General features: G+C 51.5%; 1 protein-coding gene across 1 annotated transcript, besides 5 other annotated features; it reads right to left on the reverse strand.

Annotated features, from left to right (window-relative positions):
* Positions 1-814: 814 nt before the first annotated feature.
* TCF15 (transcription factor 15) lies at positions 815-6,867 on the reverse strand. The gene is made up of 2 exons (NM_004609.4): positions 6,271-6,867; positions 815-1,223 (listed from the first exon to the last, which is right to left on the reverse strand). The coding sequence occupies exons 1-2, from the start codon at positions 6,793-6,795 to the stop codon at positions 1,149-1,151; spliced, it is 600 nt and encodes a 199-aa protein (NP_004600.3). The 5' UTR covers positions 6,796-6,867; the 3' UTR covers positions 815-1,148.
* Positions 6,785-6,954: a silencer, noted in NCBI's record as "silent region_12580". NCBI's record gives its function as "represses an Ori minimal core promoter by ATAC-STARR-seq in GM12878 lymphoblastoid cells {active_cell/tissue: GM12878}" and the evidence as "EXISTENCE:reporter gene assay evidence [ECO:0000049][PMID:35858748]".
* Positions 6,965-7,074: a silencer, noted in NCBI's record as "silent region_12581". NCBI's record gives its function as "represses an Ori minimal core promoter by ATAC-STARR-seq in GM12878 lymphoblastoid cells {active_cell/tissue: GM12878}" and the evidence as "EXISTENCE:reporter gene assay evidence [ECO:0000049][PMID:35858748]".
* Positions 7,774-8,274: an enhancer, noted in NCBI's record as "H3K4me1 hESC enhancer chr20:591860-592360 (GRCh37/hg19 assembly coordinates)". NCBI's record gives its function as "activates a minimal SCP1, AML or CMV promoter by ChIP-STARR-seq in naive H9 embryonic stem cells {active_cell/tissue: H9 hESC(naive)}" and the evidence as "EXISTENCE:reporter gene assay evidence [ECO:0000049][PMID:30033119]".
* Positions 8,275-8,775: an enhancer, noted in NCBI's record as "H3K4me1 hESC enhancer chr20:592361-592861 (GRCh37/hg19 assembly coordinates)". NCBI's record gives its function as "activates a minimal SCP1, AML or CMV promoter by ChIP-STARR-seq in naive and primed H9 embryonic stem cells {active_cell/tissue: H9 hESC(naive and primed)}" and the evidence as "EXISTENCE:reporter gene assay evidence [ECO:0000049][PMID:30033119]".
* Positions 12,257-13,456: an enhancer, noted in NCBI's record as "BRD4-independent group 4 enhancer chr20:596343-597542 (GRCh37/hg19 assembly coordinates)". NCBI's record gives its function as "activates an origin of replication core promoter dependent on BRD2, P300/CBP, MED14 and CDK7 cofactors, and independent of BRD4, by STARR-seq in HCT116 cells {active_cell/tissue: HCT116}" and the evidence as "EXISTENCE:reporter gene assay evidence [ECO:0000049][PMID:35650434]".

Consider the following 17,348-nt stretch of genomic DNA (forward strand, 5'->3'; position numbering starts at 1 on the left):
ACAGGTGCTGGCTTTCCACTTGGGGCATCTCCAGGGCAAGGAAGGAGCTGCTCTGGGCTTCAAAGGTGGACGGACCTCAGGGTGTCACCCTGCCACGTGCCTCTGGGTGTCATCGGTCTTCTAAAGCATTTCAGCTAACACAGGGGTAAGAATATTCCCCTTTAGCATGCACTCATTTGCACTTGTGGAAAACCACATGGCTTGTTGGTGATCGCATCAAAGAGGGATGGGTTAAAGGATGGCATGTTCACAAAATGGAATAATAAGCAGCTCAGGAAGAAATGAAATACCCTTTAGGTACTGACTTGGGATGATACCAAGCTAGATTAAGGAAAAAAAGAAGGAGCCAAAAGTGTGTACGATGTGCTGTCATTTGTGTATTTGCCTGATCATTCATAGTGAATGGGACATCACAGGAAACTGGTGCCCTAGGCTGCTTGCAGAGAGGAGAGCTGGTGGCTGGAGGACAGGGGCACGGAGACTTTTCAACACATACCCTCTGGTACCTTCTGAGTTTTGAACCATGTGAATGAAATGAACACAGGCCTTATTCAAAAATAAGTAAAATTAAGATTTCTTTACCAACCATATCAGACACCTAACAGTTGTTAAGAACATCTGATAAACAGCAGACTGAGGAAAGTTTGGTTATGGCGCCCGGAGAGGGGGCTCTGCCTGCCTTCCCCCGCCCCACCCCCACCCTTCCAGGGCTCAGGGCAGCCCCCAGAACATCTGTGCCTCTCTCTAGGTCCAGGGGAGGGCCCACCTCTGACCTCCGATGTCCACGGGACTCTCCTCAGCTCAGAACGACGTCTTTTATTTAAAAATAGCTTTTATTTTAAACTCACCAATTCTCTCTCACACACACTCACACTCACGCACAGATACACACACACCCTGTCACCAACAGTCTTTGTTTTTCCAAAAGTTCTGCCTTGTCTCTGACCAGCCAGAGCTGGGCAGGCTGAATGGATCCTCACAGCTCTCCAGGATCGGGTGGAGATGTCCCGAGGGCCCTGCCCAGAGTGTCCCGGAACAGGCCATGGTCCCCCGGTCCCTACACAAAGAAGGGGTGGGCTTGGCTCCTGGGGTCTTCTTCCCTGTCCAGCCAGTGGCTGGCTCCTGGCCTCCTTCTCCAGGGTCCAGGCTCATCTCCGTGGCCCTCGAAGGGGGGCCACCCCCCTCACCTTCAAGCAGCTGCCCCCCAGGTCACGACGGCCACCCTGCAGAGGGGGAGAAAGAGTATAAAGAGGTTCGATTAGGCCAGTGTGAACACTGGAACTAACCTCTGTATCCCTCAAGAGGGATCCTGATCAATAAATCACAGTTCAGCCACACGATCAAGTTCTCTGCAACAGAAAGCAGAAGAAACCCTTTCTGGACTGATACAGACTGCTGCCAAATGACAATGTTTAGGGACAAAAGCAAGGGGCAGGCTGAATGCGCCTGTGTGCTGTGATTGCTGGGGAGAAGCACACACGGGAAATTGTGAGTGGGTTTCTTCAGAGAGGAATTTGATGATGGAGAGAGGATGGGAGGGAGGCTCTCTCATGCTATACTGTTTTTTGAGATGGAGTCTTGCTCTGTTGCCAGGCTGGAATGCAGTGGCACAATCTCAGCTCACTGCAACCTCTGCCTCCCGGGTTCAAGTGATTCTCCTGCCTCATCCTCCCGAGTAGCGGGGACTACAGGGGCCCACCGCCACACCCGGCTAATTTTTGTATTCACGCTATACTTTTTTACCTTTTCTACTTCTTTCCCATATGATCTGTTGCTTAAAAAAAATCCAATATATTTTAAAGCATAATATTTTACACGGGCAAAACAAGCACACCCCACAGTGGTCCTCCCCCTGCCTGACTGCATGCCTAGCGGCTCACTCGTCCACCTTTAAAAGGGGACTCGGTTTCTGGCCTCCTTGACTTCCCTCAGGGCGTCCCCTTTCCCAGGAATGTGCTCTCAGGTCTTGTCTCCCTGGAAAGGTTTCTCTGTTCCTGAAATTGCCTAGCACTTCCTGCCTTTCTGGGGACATTCCATGGGGATGAATCTCAGAAGGACAAGGCAGGGTCTCTCCTTTGTCTCCCCATCTGGACTGGGATCTCAGGGAGTGGTAGGGAAAAGGAGTTCTTCACTCTGTGGTCCCATTTCCAGCCTGGGCTCTCTTGGCCCAGGACCTGACTTGGAGCAGGCACCAATCAAGGCCGCCTGAATTAAGTGGCAGCCATTGGAAGATGGGCTAATGGCGGCAGTCCCTGAAACCATCAGTCCTTACAGGGGCTGTCTCTACCAGCTCTTCTCATTGATATTTTCAGACTGGACACATGGGTTTCATCCTCACCGTAAGCCAGAGAGGTCACAGATGTTAAAGCACCCCCTCTTTTGAGGCCTCCAGCCACTGAATGACTGGCCCAGAGGCACCCAGCCAGTTGTAAAAGAGCTGGGCTAGAAATCTATGTTGTCCAACAATCTGTCCTGTTTCCAGGACATGATAGTGTCTGAAATCCCACTGTAAATGCTCATCACCCTGAGCCTGGCTAGATGATGGAGGAACAGGCAGCTTTCTCAGCCCACTTAGAGAAACAGCTGACCATCTGGGAGCTCTGTCCCCTGCCCCCTCCACCCCCAGGTCCAGGTTGGGGCAGATCCATCCAGATGCGAGCCCAGCCTCCCTCGAGGCTCTTGCAGCCCAGGGACAGCATGTTCACTCACAGGCAGGGCTATTTTGAGGGCTGAGGCCACAGTCCCAGCAGAGCCTGGGGCTTGGGCTTCTCAGACAAACTCTGGCAGGAGTGGCTGAGAAGGGCAGATAGGGGAGGGGGTGCAATATTAAGGTTGAATTAGAAAACTGGCCTTCCTCTCTTTTACTCTGTAAGTGCTCAGGGACAGGGAGAGCCGCCCCCTCCCACCCCAAGTCTGGAGGTCAGCTGGAGACCTAGGGTCCCAGAAGAATGCTGGGACTGTTCACCTCCCTGAACCTCAGTTTCTTCATCTATGAAATGGGGACAAAATGATTTTACTTGCCATCTCAAGGTGCAGTCGAATGTGAATGCAGCTGTGTAAGCTGCTAAGTGTACTTAGAAGAGGTCTTGACGGCCGGGTATGGTGGCTTATGCCTGTAATCCCAGCACTTTTGGGAGGCCGAGGCAGGCGGATCACCTGAGGCCAGGAGTTCGAGACCAGCCTGGCCAACATGGCAAAACCCCGTCTCTACTAAAAATACAAAAAATTAGCCAGGTGTGGTGGCTGGCACCTGTAATCCCAGCTACTTGGGAGGCTGGGGCAGGAGAACTGCTTGAACCCGGGAGGCGGAGGCTGCAGTGAGTTGAGATCGTGCCACTGTACTCCAGCCTGGGCGACAGAGCGAGACTCCATCGCAAAAAAAAAAAAAAAAAAGTCCTGACAAGACCCCAGTTTGTTTGTCCCTTAGGAACTCAGCACCAAGGGTCTTCGGGAAGCACCATGGTTAGGAGTTAGGCTCAAGTGAGACAGACCTAGGCTTCGATCCCTACTTTGCCAAGGGCCAACTACTGGACCTCAGGCAAGTGATTTCATCTCACTGAGCCTCAGTTTCCCCCCCGTAAAGGGGAATTACTTTACAGGATCACACAAGCTAATCTAGGTAAAGCCTTGGCACAGTGTTGGGAACAAAGTAAATGTTCAATAAATGTTCATAAGTATTATTATCAGCATCATCTATGGACAGTGCCTCCTGGTCCCAGCTACCCTCTGGGTATACCAACAGGGGAGAGCCTTACAAGATGATCCTGTCCAATCCTCACCCCCAGGTGACAAAGGGAAAACAGGGCAGAGACAAGAACCCCCTTTCCACCTCCCACGTGCTAATTCTACCACAGAGGGCCACACCTAACCCCTCCTTCAACAGAAAGATGCTACAGGAAACTGTTTCCACGGCAACCCCAACTCCAGACTGGCCAGGATGGGAGGGAGGTGGTGGCTCAGGGTAAAGGAACGGGGTCTTGGGTCTTAAAGCTCTTCTGGCCCACAAAGCTCAGAAGGGAGCAAGAGCTCCCCAAGCCAGCCAGTTTTCTTCCAGCAGAGTCTTCAAGGGGCCATAGCTGGCCAGGATTGCCCCTCTCGCCTATTCCCAGAGGAGACCGTGGGGTTGAGAGCATGGTTTCTACAGCCAAATTTGGCTGAGTTCTTGGTCCCATAGACAGATCCCAGGGAAGCGGCCAGGCCCAGGGGAGGCCCCTGTGAGCTGTGGGACAGGCCTGAGACCTGCAGAGAAGTCCCCCAGCCTGCTTGCTATGGGGGTGGACACATGACAGTTACAGGGACTTCCCTCTGTAACCTATCCCACGTCCCAACCAGGCAGGCCTGAGTTTGAATCCTGGTTCCATCACTGACTGTGTGTCTCTGCGCCACTGGCAGCACCTCTAAGCAAGTGGGGATAACCACAGCGCCTCATTCCTGGCTGTTGCAGGATTTTAATGATAAATCATAAAGAGCGCTTAGCACAGATCAGTGCTCATGAAGGCTGCTGTCACTGCTGTTATTGGCCATTGTGCTCCCCCTCTGCACTCCTGCCACTTTTAACCTCTTCCCTCTTCCTTCTCTAGGCCTGAGCTCTTGCTGTATGCCCCAATCCTAGAACACCCTTTCCTACCCCTTCATCGGCCTGCCCCTGTTCTAAAGCATCCTTCAGAAATGAGACACAGAAACCCTGTCAGCACTCACCCTGGGTTGGAGGCTTTCTCTGGGCTCTGAGAATCCCTTTGTGCTTCCCCTCCCCCACCATCAGACCACAGCATCCTCATCTTCATCTCCCTGCCCTGACCCTGGGGCTGTACTGTCAGGTCCTGACTGGTGGAAGGGTGGGGACCTACAACCTGCTTCTCTGGGGTTCTCAGAGCCAACAGAAGGCAGCTGTTGGGTAGCTAAGGGTTGCTAACTGGAATGAATGGGTGAAAGGCAGTCAGGGAGTATCCCTGAGAGCCCCTTCAGGCCCTCCCATCCCAGGAAGCCTTAAAGGCCCACTCCTGGCTTCTCAGCCCAGCCTGGGGCACTGACAGGGGCCCACAGCTGGGAGCAGCAGGGACCCTGGAGAGGGCACAAGCCTGAGGCTAAGAAGACCGACGATTCAGGGCAACTGAGGCAGCCAAGTGTTGAGCAACCAGGCTGGATATCTGATGAGCCAGACAGAGGGTGGTCTCAGGCCAAGATGCAGAGGCCTCCGCAGAACAGGGTGGAGCAAGGGACCAACGGCAGCTGTGAGAACCAAACAGCAGGGAGTCAGGGGCCTAACTCCAATTCCCCATGCCCTTCCACTTGGCCACCAAAAGTCAGTACTCTCTCAGCCTCAGTTTCCCCGGATGTAAATGGTAGCTGCTGGAATACAAGTTGTTAGACAGGCTTCTTTACTGTAGGAAAAGCCCAGGCCAGAAAGGCACACGGTCGGGGGATGAAGCAGGTTCCTTGGAGCCTGGGCAAGGTTTCAGCCAAGAGGCCACCTCTGCTGCCACACAGCCCCCGCCCACCCCTACCAGCCTGATCCACTTTCTTGCCCAGGACACATTGCAGGAGCTGCACACCAGCTCCCTCCAGCTGACCCAAGAGTGCCCTCTCCCAACACCACGTCCTTTTGGGGGCTGGGGACTCTCAGAGGGCCCCTTCTTCACTCCTACTGCTCATCCGCTGGGTACCTCAGGCTCTCGGTTGGCGGTTTGTGGCCTCCTTTCTTCTCAGTCTCCTGCTCTTGGGTTAGATCTTAGGACAGGGGACAATTATTTCAAGGTGGGGGCAACACACACCGGGCAAGCCCAGGGCCAGCGCCCCGGCTTCCCAGCTGAGTAAATGTGGGCAGGTGATCCCATCTCTGATGCTCAGATCCTCATCAGGATAAAATGGGCAGAAAAACTACCTGCCTGAAGGGATTCTTGTGAAGGCAAAAAAGTGGATGTGGAGCGCATCGGCACAGAGGAAGACTCCATAAAAGATGGGTCTTTGTTACTCAGTCCTCATGCCGTCTTCCCAGCAGGAAGGAAGTTCCAGCACACCTTTCGTTGGAGGGGATATCCCACACTGAGCAGTTAAATCAGACCCGAACTCTGGGTTTTCCCGCATCCTTCTGTTTGGGGGCCTGGGCATTAAGTCAGTGGTTCTGGGCTTGGGGTGCCGCACCCAGCACGAATTCCACGTCGCTTCCCCCTGGCCTCGTTGGGGACCCCTGCACCTCTCCGGTTCCCGCAGAGGCGCTGCCCCCCGCCTACCCCGACCTGGCGGCCGCAGCGAGGGACGCAGCACACTCACCCCCTTGCGCTGGTTGCTGAGGCAGAAGGTGCAGATGGAGCGCGGCTGGCGGCCGCCGTCGGCGGCGGCGGGGACGGCGCCCTTGGCACTGCCCGCGGCACGGAAGCACGGCTGCCCGTCGTCGGCCGAGTCGCCCAGCAGCAGCACGTTGGCCAGGTGCGCGATGTAGCTGGACGCCAGGCGCACGGTCTCGATCTTGGACAGCTTGCGGTCCACCGGCTCGGTGGGGATGAGCGTGCGCAGCGCCGTGAAGGCCGTGTTCACGCTCTGAGTGCGGTCCCGCTCCCGCGCGTTGGCCGCCTGCCGCTGTCGCACCACCACCACGGGGCCCGCGCCGCCGCCGCCGCCCGCCCGCCGCCCGCCCCCGGGGCCCGGGCCGCGCCGCGCCGCCTCCGGGCCCTCGCAGCAGCCGAACGACTGGTCCGACGCGTCGCTCTCGCTGCGGTTCTCCTCGTCCTCGCTCAGCAGCCGCACGTCCGGGTACAGCACGTGCGCGCCGACGGGCCGCAGCAGCGCGAACGCCATGGGCGCCGGCCGCGTCCCTCCGTGCGCCGCGTCCCAGCGTCGGCCGCGCCCCGCCGTGCGCTCCCGCGCGCTCCCACGGCCCCGCCGGCCCCCGCCTTATAGGCGAGGGAGGGGCCAATGGCAAGGCCGCCCCGGCCGGGGGCGGAGGGCTCCGCCCGGCCAATGGGGAGGCGTCCGCCCGGCCAATGGGGAGGCGTCCGCCGCGCCCTGGCCAATGGCGACGCTCCCACCGCCTCCGTCCCCCAGGTTGAAAGCGGCCCGGGAGCCGGCGGCCCACCCCGAAGGCCCCCGTTCCCGGCTGGCTAGCCCGGCAGATGCTGGAGGTCTGGGAGGGTCGGCCGGGGTGGGCCCAGATCCGAACTTTTTGTCTCCAGCCTGGACCACCTGGGAGACGCGGGCAGATCCCTTTCTCCTCTCTGGGCCTCAGTTTCCTCGTTCGGAACGTTCAGATTGCAGAGAAACAGCTAGTGTCTGCCTGCCCTCCAATTCTAATCCTGTAGTTCTGCAGCTTTCACGTGCGTAAGAACTGGGGAAGGGGCTTTTGCTATTACAGAGTCCCAAATTGCTCCCATTCTGATTGAGCAGTTCTGGAACGGGCCCAGGAACCTACATTTTGTAACAAGCCATTGGTGATAGTGGTGGTGTCCGTGGAGAACACTTGGAGAAAAGCTATAATCTTTCCAAATGAGGATTCGACAGTGTCTTGTCCCTGAAGACAAACTTAAAAAGAAGAAGAAAAAAAAAAGCAAAACAAAACCACAATACACAAACACCAGTAGTTCGTTCGTTTTTTCAACAAATATTCGTTGGGTCCCTACTATGTGTCAGACATGGTTTTAGGTCTGAGGATACAGCCATTAACAAAATAAATTCTTCACCCTCACGGAACTGACGTTTTGGTTAAGGAACTACTGTGTACCAGACTCGGTGCTATATACTCTATTGCGCCCAGCTGAGGCTGCAGGATGGCAGCCCTGAGTTACAGGTCAGAGAGCTCCGGCCTTCAGTCGTACAGGTGGGAGTGGCGGCGCTAGCTCCAGCCTGTCCGGTTTCACTACCTCTTGGAATCCTACCACCACCATCCCATCACACACACACGGGCTATCTTTCCTCAATGCCTGCTTGCCTTCTAGAAACCTTAGATTGTTCAGCCTGACGTGTCCTCTTCAGAGAATTGCTGAGCCAAAGGTGGTTGCCGGGGTCTCGATCTCACTCGTGCCTGCTGCTCAGCTCTCTCCAGGCACTAGCTAAACCAGCATCCACTTGGCCTTGAAAATAAGCCCGAGTGGCAGCCGGTGTAGCAGACAGAGCGCAGGGAGTGGAGTTGAAAGGCTTCTAGGTGCATTTTGGCTCCTCTGGGCGTCTGTTTTCCTGACGATGCCTGCAGCTCTGCCATGCTGTGCTTTCCTGGCTTCCCTGATCCAGGCCAGAATTAGGGGAAGAAGAGGGAGCGAGGGATTTCCCATGACTGCCGGGGGAGGAGCCCCTTAGGACCCAGGGTCTGCGGGAGAGTCTGTTCCCACACCTGGATCCCCCCACCGCCAGCATTTGACCGTGACCCCAGCCAGGCTGGGCTTTGGGGAGGAGGGAAACAGCCAGCATGGGCCCCCTCCCCGCAGGGCTGGTCCCACACACAGCCCCAGACCAGGCTGCTGCTTCCTGAGCCGATGAATTATTACCGGGAGATTTCCTTCCCTGTCTGCGCCTCCTCACAGGGGCTCCCAGCTCACTTCACTTTCGCTTTCTCCCCCTTCTCCCCCTCCTCTCTGCTTCTGACCCTCAGGCAGCTTGAAATTCCTCTGTCCAGCCCCCTCCCAATTCCACCTCCAACTGGAGATGCCAACCAAGGCGTGAACTGGGCCCGGAAGGCGAAGAGGGGCTTGCCTTGTAGGCTCATTCATTTATTTGCTCCTTAGGCATATTTTGACACTTGGGACCCTGGGAGTAGAAGAAAACCATGAATGAGACTGAGACAGGCCTTCTGCAGCCGAGAGGGGAAGGCGAGCTGTAAACAAAGGATTTCAAGACAATGTGGTAGGAGCAAGCCAGGGTCTGGTATCAGAGAGACCCAGTTCCGGTTCCAAGGTTAGCTGCTTCCCAGAGTCTCAGTTGCCTGCTCTGAAAATGAGATAATAATAGTACCCATTCCCAGGGCTGGTGATGGTTCCATGAGTTTGTGCCAGTAGAGCTGGGCTTGGCACACAGGAGTGCTCAGTACCTGAGAGGAGTTTGTGCTACTGTTTTTAGGGGCTGGCCCCAGCCAACTGCCTGGGAAAGGGCTGAGCAGCATTGACTTTTCTAGGTCTTGTCCCTGGGAGTGCGGAGGGGACTCCTACCACATTCTCAGCTCACCTACACAGGGGACCTCAGCTTCCCCCATTCTCTGTCCCTCACTCTGCTCCAGCCACACTGGCCTCCCCACTAAATCTGGAGCCCACTTCTTCCTGGCCCCCCTGGCCCCTGATAGTCTCATAGTTTGTTCACTCATTTCCTTCAAATCTTCACTCAAATCTTATCTCAGGGAGGCCCTTCCTGACCACCAGCACTAACAGTAATGGCTTCTCCAACCTGCCAGCACCCCCAGCTCTCCCTTTCCCCTTATCCTGCTTTATTTCTTTTTATAGCATTTGTCACTGACTTTCATTCATTCACTTATTCATTCTACAAATATTAACTGAGCACCTGCTATGTGCTAGGCACAGTTCTGGGTACTGCGGATACAGCAGTAGAGACATTACATATTTATTTGTCTACCACCTGTCTCCCTCCACTAGAGTATAAGCTCCATGGGGCAGGTACTTTGTGTATTTTGCTCATCTCACTTCCTTCCCAACACAACCTTCTGAGGTAGGTATTGTCATTATTCCCATTTTACAGATGAAGATACGGAGGTTCAAAGAGGGGAAAGTGACTTGCCCGAGGTCACACGGTGGGCCAATGTGGGAGCTGAGATTGGTCTGACTCCAAAGCCATTGCTCCTTCCCTAACCACATGGCTTCTGAGGCAGCCTAGAGGCCTGTGAGGGCTGAGTAGGAGTCTGCCAGGTAAGAGGAGACAGGTGTCACAGGCTGAGAGGGTAGAGGCTGGTCCCTGCCTCCCTGACCATGGGCACCCTTCACTTCTACAAAAAGCATTTGTTTCTCAGAGGCACCTGCTGTGCACAACTCTGAGCCTGTGCTCCAGCTGTCCTTCCTGCTTGGAATGCTGCCCCTTTGGGTCTGACCAGACATCCCTAGTCCTCTGCCAGTGTTCAGAGTAGCAGATGGTGAAGGCCTCTTTGCCACTTTTTGCCAACCTTGCTGCAAAGTCTTGTTGTGTTCATCACACCATATTTTGACTTTTCTCCCTTCATCCCTGATTCTCACTTCCATTTCCCTCCCCTAACAGGGCACCCACTCCCATATCTTTGACGCATGCCTTTGGATATATGTGTGTCTTTATAAAATGTGCATGGCGTTGATTTGTGTGTGGAGGTTTTTAATGTATATAAATAGTGGTTTCAATAGATCTGTGTCATAGGCTATTTTGTTTCCTCGACACTGCTCTGTGTGCTGAGTCCAGCTCAAGTCCCTTGGTTCCCACTGCTGCTAAGCATGCACGGTGTGCGTGTGCCACCATGCCTCCTTTTCCCACCGCTTTAGTGATGGATGCTGGCTACCTCCAGTTCCCACCTCCCCAAGCAAAGCTGTGATGGACTTGCAGTGTGTGACTCTCATGGACTCCCGTGTGTATTTCTCTGGGATGTACACTCGGGGGCAGGATCCCTGGGGTGGAGAGAATACATACAGTTACTGCACTCTATGACGGCTGCCTCAGTCTACATGCCCAGCAGCAGGGCATGAGGGACCACTTTCTCCACATGCACCCTAGCACTTGGAATTATCTGACTTCCCAATGATGGAGATATGGGTTGTTTTCCATCTCCTTGTGCTTGCCTCCATCACGGTGTGGGCAATAATGAATACTTGTTGCACTTTGGGTGGCCGAGGCGGGTGGATCATTGAGGTCAGGAGTCTGAGACCATCCTGGCCAACATGGAGAAACCCCGTCTCTAGTGAAAATACAAAAATTAGCCAGGCGTGGTGGTGTACCTGTAATCCCAGCTACTCAGGAGGCTGAGTCAGGAGAATCGCTTGAACCTGGGAGGCAGAGGTTGCAGTGAGCCGAGATCGCGCCACTGCACTCCAGCCTGGGTGACAGAGCAAGACTCCATCTCTCTCTCTCTCTCTCTCTCTCTATATATATATATATATATATACATATATATATGTATATATATGTATATATATGTGTATATATGTGTATATATATGTATATATGTGTATATATATATGTATATATATATATAATGAATACTTGTTGAACAAATGAATGAAAAGGCTAATACACAGCCTCCCACACCTACCTTGTACCAAACCTCAGTCTAGAAGGTGGCGGTATATGTGTGTATGTTTGTGTGTAGAGAGGGGAATATAAGACAAAGTCTTATGCCTCAACCTGCTTAGAGAAAAAGACTAATGACAGTTAGCATTTATTGAGGGCTTACTTTGTGTCAAGAATTCATAGGTGTATATTCACAACCTTAACTTCAGTGAGACAAGTAAAATGCATTTCTCTCTCATTCAAGGCCTTTGGAGGTAGGGCTGCTCTGGCATTCCACAGTGTGGTCGCCAGCTTCCAAGATTGCCAGCAATGATCCTTGCCTCCTAGTATTCATCTGCGTGTGTAGAACCCTCCCCCATTGAATCAGATTTGACTCATGTGACCAAAAGAATATGACAGAAGTGACGGTATGTGACTTCTGAATGTAGCTCATAAAGGCATTGAGCTCCTGCCTTGTTCTCTTGAGTCATTTACTCTGGGGACAGCAGCCACCATGCCATGAGGACACTCAAGCCGTCTGTGGAGAGAGACCAAGGTCCCTAGCCTACAGCCATCACCAATTTGCCAGCCAAGTGAGTGAGCCTCCTTGGATGTGGATCCTGAATTCCTGACCTGCAGGACCTGTGAAAAAGAAGAAAGATAATACAGAAAGACAAAGAAAAAAGATAATAAATAATTATTGGCTGGGCGCAGTGGCTCACACCTGTAATCCCAGGACTTCACAAGGCTGAGGCCAAAGGATCGTTTGAGGCCAGGAGTTTGAGACCAGCCTGGGTAACATAGTGAGACCCTGTCTCTAAAAGAAAAAAAAGGAAAAGAAATTTGCTGGATGCTCTGGTGCATGCCTGTGTTCCCAGCTACTCTGGAGGCTGAGGCAGGAGGGTCGCTTGAGCCCAGGAGTTTGAGGCTGCAGTGAGCCATGATCACACCACTGCACTCCAGCCTGGGCAACAGAGCAAGACCTTGTCTCTAAAAACACAAAAATTATCAATGTTGTAATCCCGTAAGTTTAGGGTGTTTTGTTATGCAACATTAGATAACTAAAACAGATGGTGCCGGGGACCCAGGCTCTGTCTATCTTTTTACTGCACCATACATAGCTTTCACTTCCTAGTTCTCTTACAGAGCCACATGGCCACAGGAGCCATTCTATCTGCATTCCAACTGGCAAAAAGGAGAAAGAGGCAGAAGGAAGAGCATGCTTTAATCTGTAGAACACCAACCTCACTCCGTTCACATCCCGTTGGCAAGATCTTGTCATTTGACCATACTTAACTGAAAAGGAGGCTGAGTATATAGTCTTTTGCAGGTAGGTGTCCGTGTGTGCAGCTGAACACTGGGTTTCTGTTAGTGAGGAAGAAGGGAAGAATGGCTATTGAAAACAACTAACCATAGGTGTTATATACCATAGGTGTTAACTCTGGAGATAATAATGTCACATGGTTAAGTTTGCACATTTGGGAGCCTGACTGCCTGGTTTCAGTTCTCAGTTAGGCCACTTACCAGATGTGTGATCTTGGGAAATTTACCAAACTTTTCTGGGCCTCAGTTTCCTCATCTGTAAACAGGGCTCACAGTAAAGCCTGCCTCATAGGGTTGTTATGAGGATTAAATGAGTCAATGTATGTAGCGTTTATAACAGTCCTGGCACATGGTATGTGCTGTGTGTTAGCTGTTTTCATTATATAATCCTTACAAGGGTTTTTTTTTTTTTTTGACAGAGTTTCACAATTATTGCCCAGGCTGGAGTGCAATGGTGCGATCGCAGCTCACTGCAACCTCTGCCTCCCAGGAGGATTCTCCTGCCTCAGCTTCCCATGTAGCTGGGATTACAGGCATGCACCAGCATGCCTGGCTGATTTTGTATTTTTAGTAGAGACTGGGTTTCACCACATTGGTCAGGCTGGTCTTGAACTCCTGACCTCAAGTGATCCACCCTCTTTGGCCTCGTAAAGTGCTGGGATTACAGGCATGAGCCACCGCGCCTGGCCACAAGGGGTTTTCTTAAGTTCTCACAACCAGCAAGTGATGGAAGCAGAATTTGGCCCAAAAGCATTTTTTTCCACTTGCGTCATCCCATAGAAATTCGTAGAGTGCAAGATCAAGACCCAGATCAGTACACCGCACATAATACGCATCCAGAAATATCTGTCGAATGAGTGAGTTAAATAAACACGTAAACTGTCCTTACATAGAGATGCTAGGTTTTGTTTGGTTTTGTTTTATGTTCAGTTAATGAGAATGCTCCATTGACCCCATCTGGTTCCTCTAGTATGGGGCTGATGCCCTTGATACCATGCTAGAACTCAGTCCCTCCAGGGTCCCTCCAAGCCATCATTTTTAAGGGTGAATTCCTGGGAACACTTGTTCTTGCGGATGCTCAGGATTCCATGATTTTTTTTAAAAAAAGTCAGAGAAGCTGCATTTTATATCCCCCTCCTAGCGACCTGCAACAACATTAGCATGTTAAAGAGTCGGAGAAATCCTGCAACAAAAAAGCTTGTTGGGCTTCATTTCAATCTGCATTTTGTTTTCTTATTTTTTTGAGACGAGGTCTTACTCTGTTGCCCAGGCTGGAGTATAGTGATGCAATCATGGTTCACTGCAGCCTCGACCTCCCAGGCTCAAGCAATCCTCCCACCTCAGCCTCCCAAATAACTAGGACTACAGGCATGTGACAAACCCAGTTAATTTTTAATTTTTTTGTAGAGATTTAATTTTTTTTTTTGTAGGCAACTATGTTGCCTAAGCTAGTCTCTAATTCCTGGACTCAAGCAATCCTTCTGCCTTGGCCTCCCAAAGTGCTGAGATTACAAACATGAGCTACCGTGCCTGGTCTCAATCTGCATTTTCTGAGCTTATTTTAGGCTTACTTGATTAAAGACTCACTTCCTGCCCCCAACACCAGACACCTAATAGAGAATACAGTTTAGCAGACATTTCTCCGGGCTGTTGCCACTGACATCTACCTCAGTGTGAGTGGGTATCCATTCTTTCTAGACAGCATGTTTGATAGGAGTGAAGTGGAAGTGAGCAGGTGGGTGCTGGTTACCAGGAAGAGACAGGGTAAGAGAGGGAACATACAGGCATATGTCCGAGCCCCACTTTCTAAGGGACATAAAAATATCATTGAAAATATAATAGGTGGAGAAAAGTGTATTTCGTGGTACTTCTTTCAGGGAAAATGCAATGTAAATTGAAATAATAATATTATTGAGGGGTAACAATATGCCAGGCACTCTGCTAGGAACTTATTTAATCCTCACAGCAGTCTCATGAGCTAAGTACTATTAATATTCCCGTTCTATAGGTGAGTAGACTAAAGAGCAGAAAGGTTAAGTAATTTGCTTAAGGTCACATAGCTAGGGAGTGGACAGGAATTCTTTGATAAGTTGCTTGTGGTGAGGATAACAAGGGAAGACCCTCCCCCGGGGTAGTTTAAGCTCAGATGCTCACAAAACTCTGCTCCAGGGAGAGTGAGCCTACTTGGTTGAAGAGCACTGATTTTGTTGAGTAGAGGATGCAAGTTTGGGCCAGAGTGGAATTGTTCAAGAATAGAGAGGAGGTTGGTGCTGCCATGGGTGCCCTCCTTCAGCTCCATCGCTTTAAGGAAAGGATGAGCTCATGTTTAAAGACTTTTAAGTTGAAGGCAGTGCTAAATAATTTAGTGTGGTCAGGTACCCACCTGACTCAGGTTGACCCTGACACCAGTGCCAGGTGTGGCAGAATCACCAAAATGGTGTGGAAGATCAAGATAATGCTAAATGAAACTACCATTTAAGTCTGCTTTGAAAACTCAAGGAGTTTGGAGCTCAGAGTTGCCAAGAACAAGTTGGAATGGCCTGAGGCTGCCATGCTATGAGGAAGCCCAGGCCACATGGAGAGGCCACATGCTTTTGACTGGTCGTTCTGGTCTTTCAATTCTCCCAGCTCCAGGAACAGACACATGAGTGAAGAGGCTTTCATACAATTCCAGCCCCAGTTATCGAGTCTTTGCCATTGAAGCCTCAGACATCATGGACAGTGACAAGTCTTCACTGCTCTACCCATTCTGAATCCTGAACTACAGAATCCGTGAGCATAAGGAAATGCTTAAGACACCAAATTGTGGGGTAATTTGTCACACAGCAACACTAATTGTGACTGTAGCTCACTAAAATGCCTCCCAAATATTATCTTCACAACTAAAAGCACCAAAAAACCTGAAAGTACAGTTGAATTTCATGATTTGCTATAATTATATTCTAGAAAGTCACTGCAAACACTGAATTAGCAAATACTGAACCACTGCTCCTAGGAGAAATACAGGCTTAGGTTCCTGTGAACCATTCTGTTCCCAACATGTTCATCAACTCATCAATACTTAAGCTTGTTTTATGCATGTTTCTGTTGAAAGACACCATGTTTAATACATATTGTTGATTCACTCACATTGCACTCATGGCCAACAGCACTGTAACTCACGCCTGAATGAAGCTTATCTAACTCACATGATCTTCTCTGTAAGGCACATCAAAGCCTTCTGGTGCTTAGGAACATTAGACAGCACCTCAGCACCATGCCCGGGGCCATTGTCAACAGTACAATCACCAGCGGAAGACACAAAAATTTGTAAAATGTGGCACTGAATAGACTGAAAAGGACAGTTGTTTACAGTGTGAGAGCTGAAAGAAGAAGGCAGCGTGTCACTTTGTATGATCTCACCTGGAAACATGCATCAAGTGACTCAAAAAAAATTTTTTTTTTCGAGACAGGGTCTCACTCTGTTGCCAGGCTGGAGTGCAGTGGTGGGATCTCTGCTCACTGCAACCTCCGCCTCCCGGGTTCAAGCAGTTCTCCTGCCTCAGCCTCCCAAGTAGCTGGGACTACAGGCACACGCCACCACACCTGGCTGATTTTTGTATTTTTAGTAGAGACAGGGTTTCACCATGTTGGCCAGGATGGTCTCAATCGCTTGACCTTGTTATCTGCCCACCTCGGCCTCCCAAAGTGCTAGGATTACAGGCGTGAGCCACTGCGCCCAACTGGCAACTCAAATTTTTCATGACTCCTCAAGTATCCATCAATGACCATGAGAGCTCCAGCGAGTGTTGATTTTGAGGTTACAAATTTAGTGAGTAGATGAATCCACGACTCCACAATCAGTGACTAATAAGAATTGACTGCATTATTTAATAAGTTCAGGGCTTGCCGTCGTGATTCACAATTGGAGAAAGCGAGGCATGGAGCAAGTCCAGGGGTGTTCCAAAAGGCCTCACTTTTCTCCTTTGCAAACTGTGGCTGATGAGGGCCATCCTGCGGGGTTTGTGGAGAGAAGGGATAGTAACAACAGCTGCATTGTATGGTGCTATGTGCTGCACACTTTGCACACCTGATCATTTAATACTCACAATGATCCCTAGCAGATGGATCCTATTACCAAGTTCATTTTACAGATGAGGAAGCTTAGACCCAGCAAGGTTAAGGGGCTGTGCTCAAGGTCTTACCTTCTAGGAGAGGCAGAGCTGGATCTGAAGCCATTTCTGTTCTCAGCCCCTGCTGTGTGCTTTCCTACCATCCTCTCCAGACTCGCCCTGAGCCCAAGTTGCTGAGGCATGTGGCACGGTGCCTGGCACACAGTAGGCTCACAGTAGTGGCTGCTTTGATGATGACCATAAACTGGGATCTGGGGTCCTTGAGATGATTCTACCAAGGGGACCCGGGGGAAGCTGAGCCCTGGGGCAAAGTGGGGGCCAGCACAGGAGCTGCTGGGGAAGGAACAGAGCCTGTGCGGTGGGAAGATAGGACATGGAGCAAAGAGGATCTTGAATCAGACCCCGTGGTCCCCTCCTACAGAGGGTTAAAGCAAGCCAGCCTCCTTCCGGCTGAGCGGAAATCAGATTTTGAGAGCTGAGCAGGGCTCTGGAGGGATGTTTTTCTTCTCCATTTGTCTGCTTGTGGCTGGCCCATAAAATCCACCGGAACTCCATGCTGGACTGAGGAATTCCTGCTGAACAGGGACATGGAGAACGCAGGCTGGGAGGGGGCATAGTGTGGATCCTTATCAGAGCAGAGACCACCCCATCTTCAAGGCCCCACCTCCAGGTTGGGTGATCCCCTCTGGAGGCCTCATAGGATTCCTGGGTAAGGGGAGGGACCAGGATCGACAGGGTGGGGGAAAGTCCAAGGAA

Source organism: Homo sapiens, chromosome 20 (assembly GCF_000001405.40).
Source record: "Homo sapiens chromosome 20, GRCh38.p14 Primary Assembly".
NCBI classification, from domain to species: domain Eukaryota; kingdom Metazoa; phylum Chordata; class Mammalia; order Primates; family Hominidae; genus Homo; species Homo sapiens.

Coding starts and splice junctions, on each gene's coding strand:
- TCF15 (NM_004609.4), bottom strand. CDS start 6,795: ATGGCGTTCGCGCTGCTGCGGCCCGTCGGCGCGCACGTGCTGTACCCG. Junction 1,224..6,270: donor TCAGCAACCAGCGCAAGGGG/GTGAGTGTGCTG, acceptor CCCCCTCTGCAG/GGTGGCCGTCGTGACCTGGG.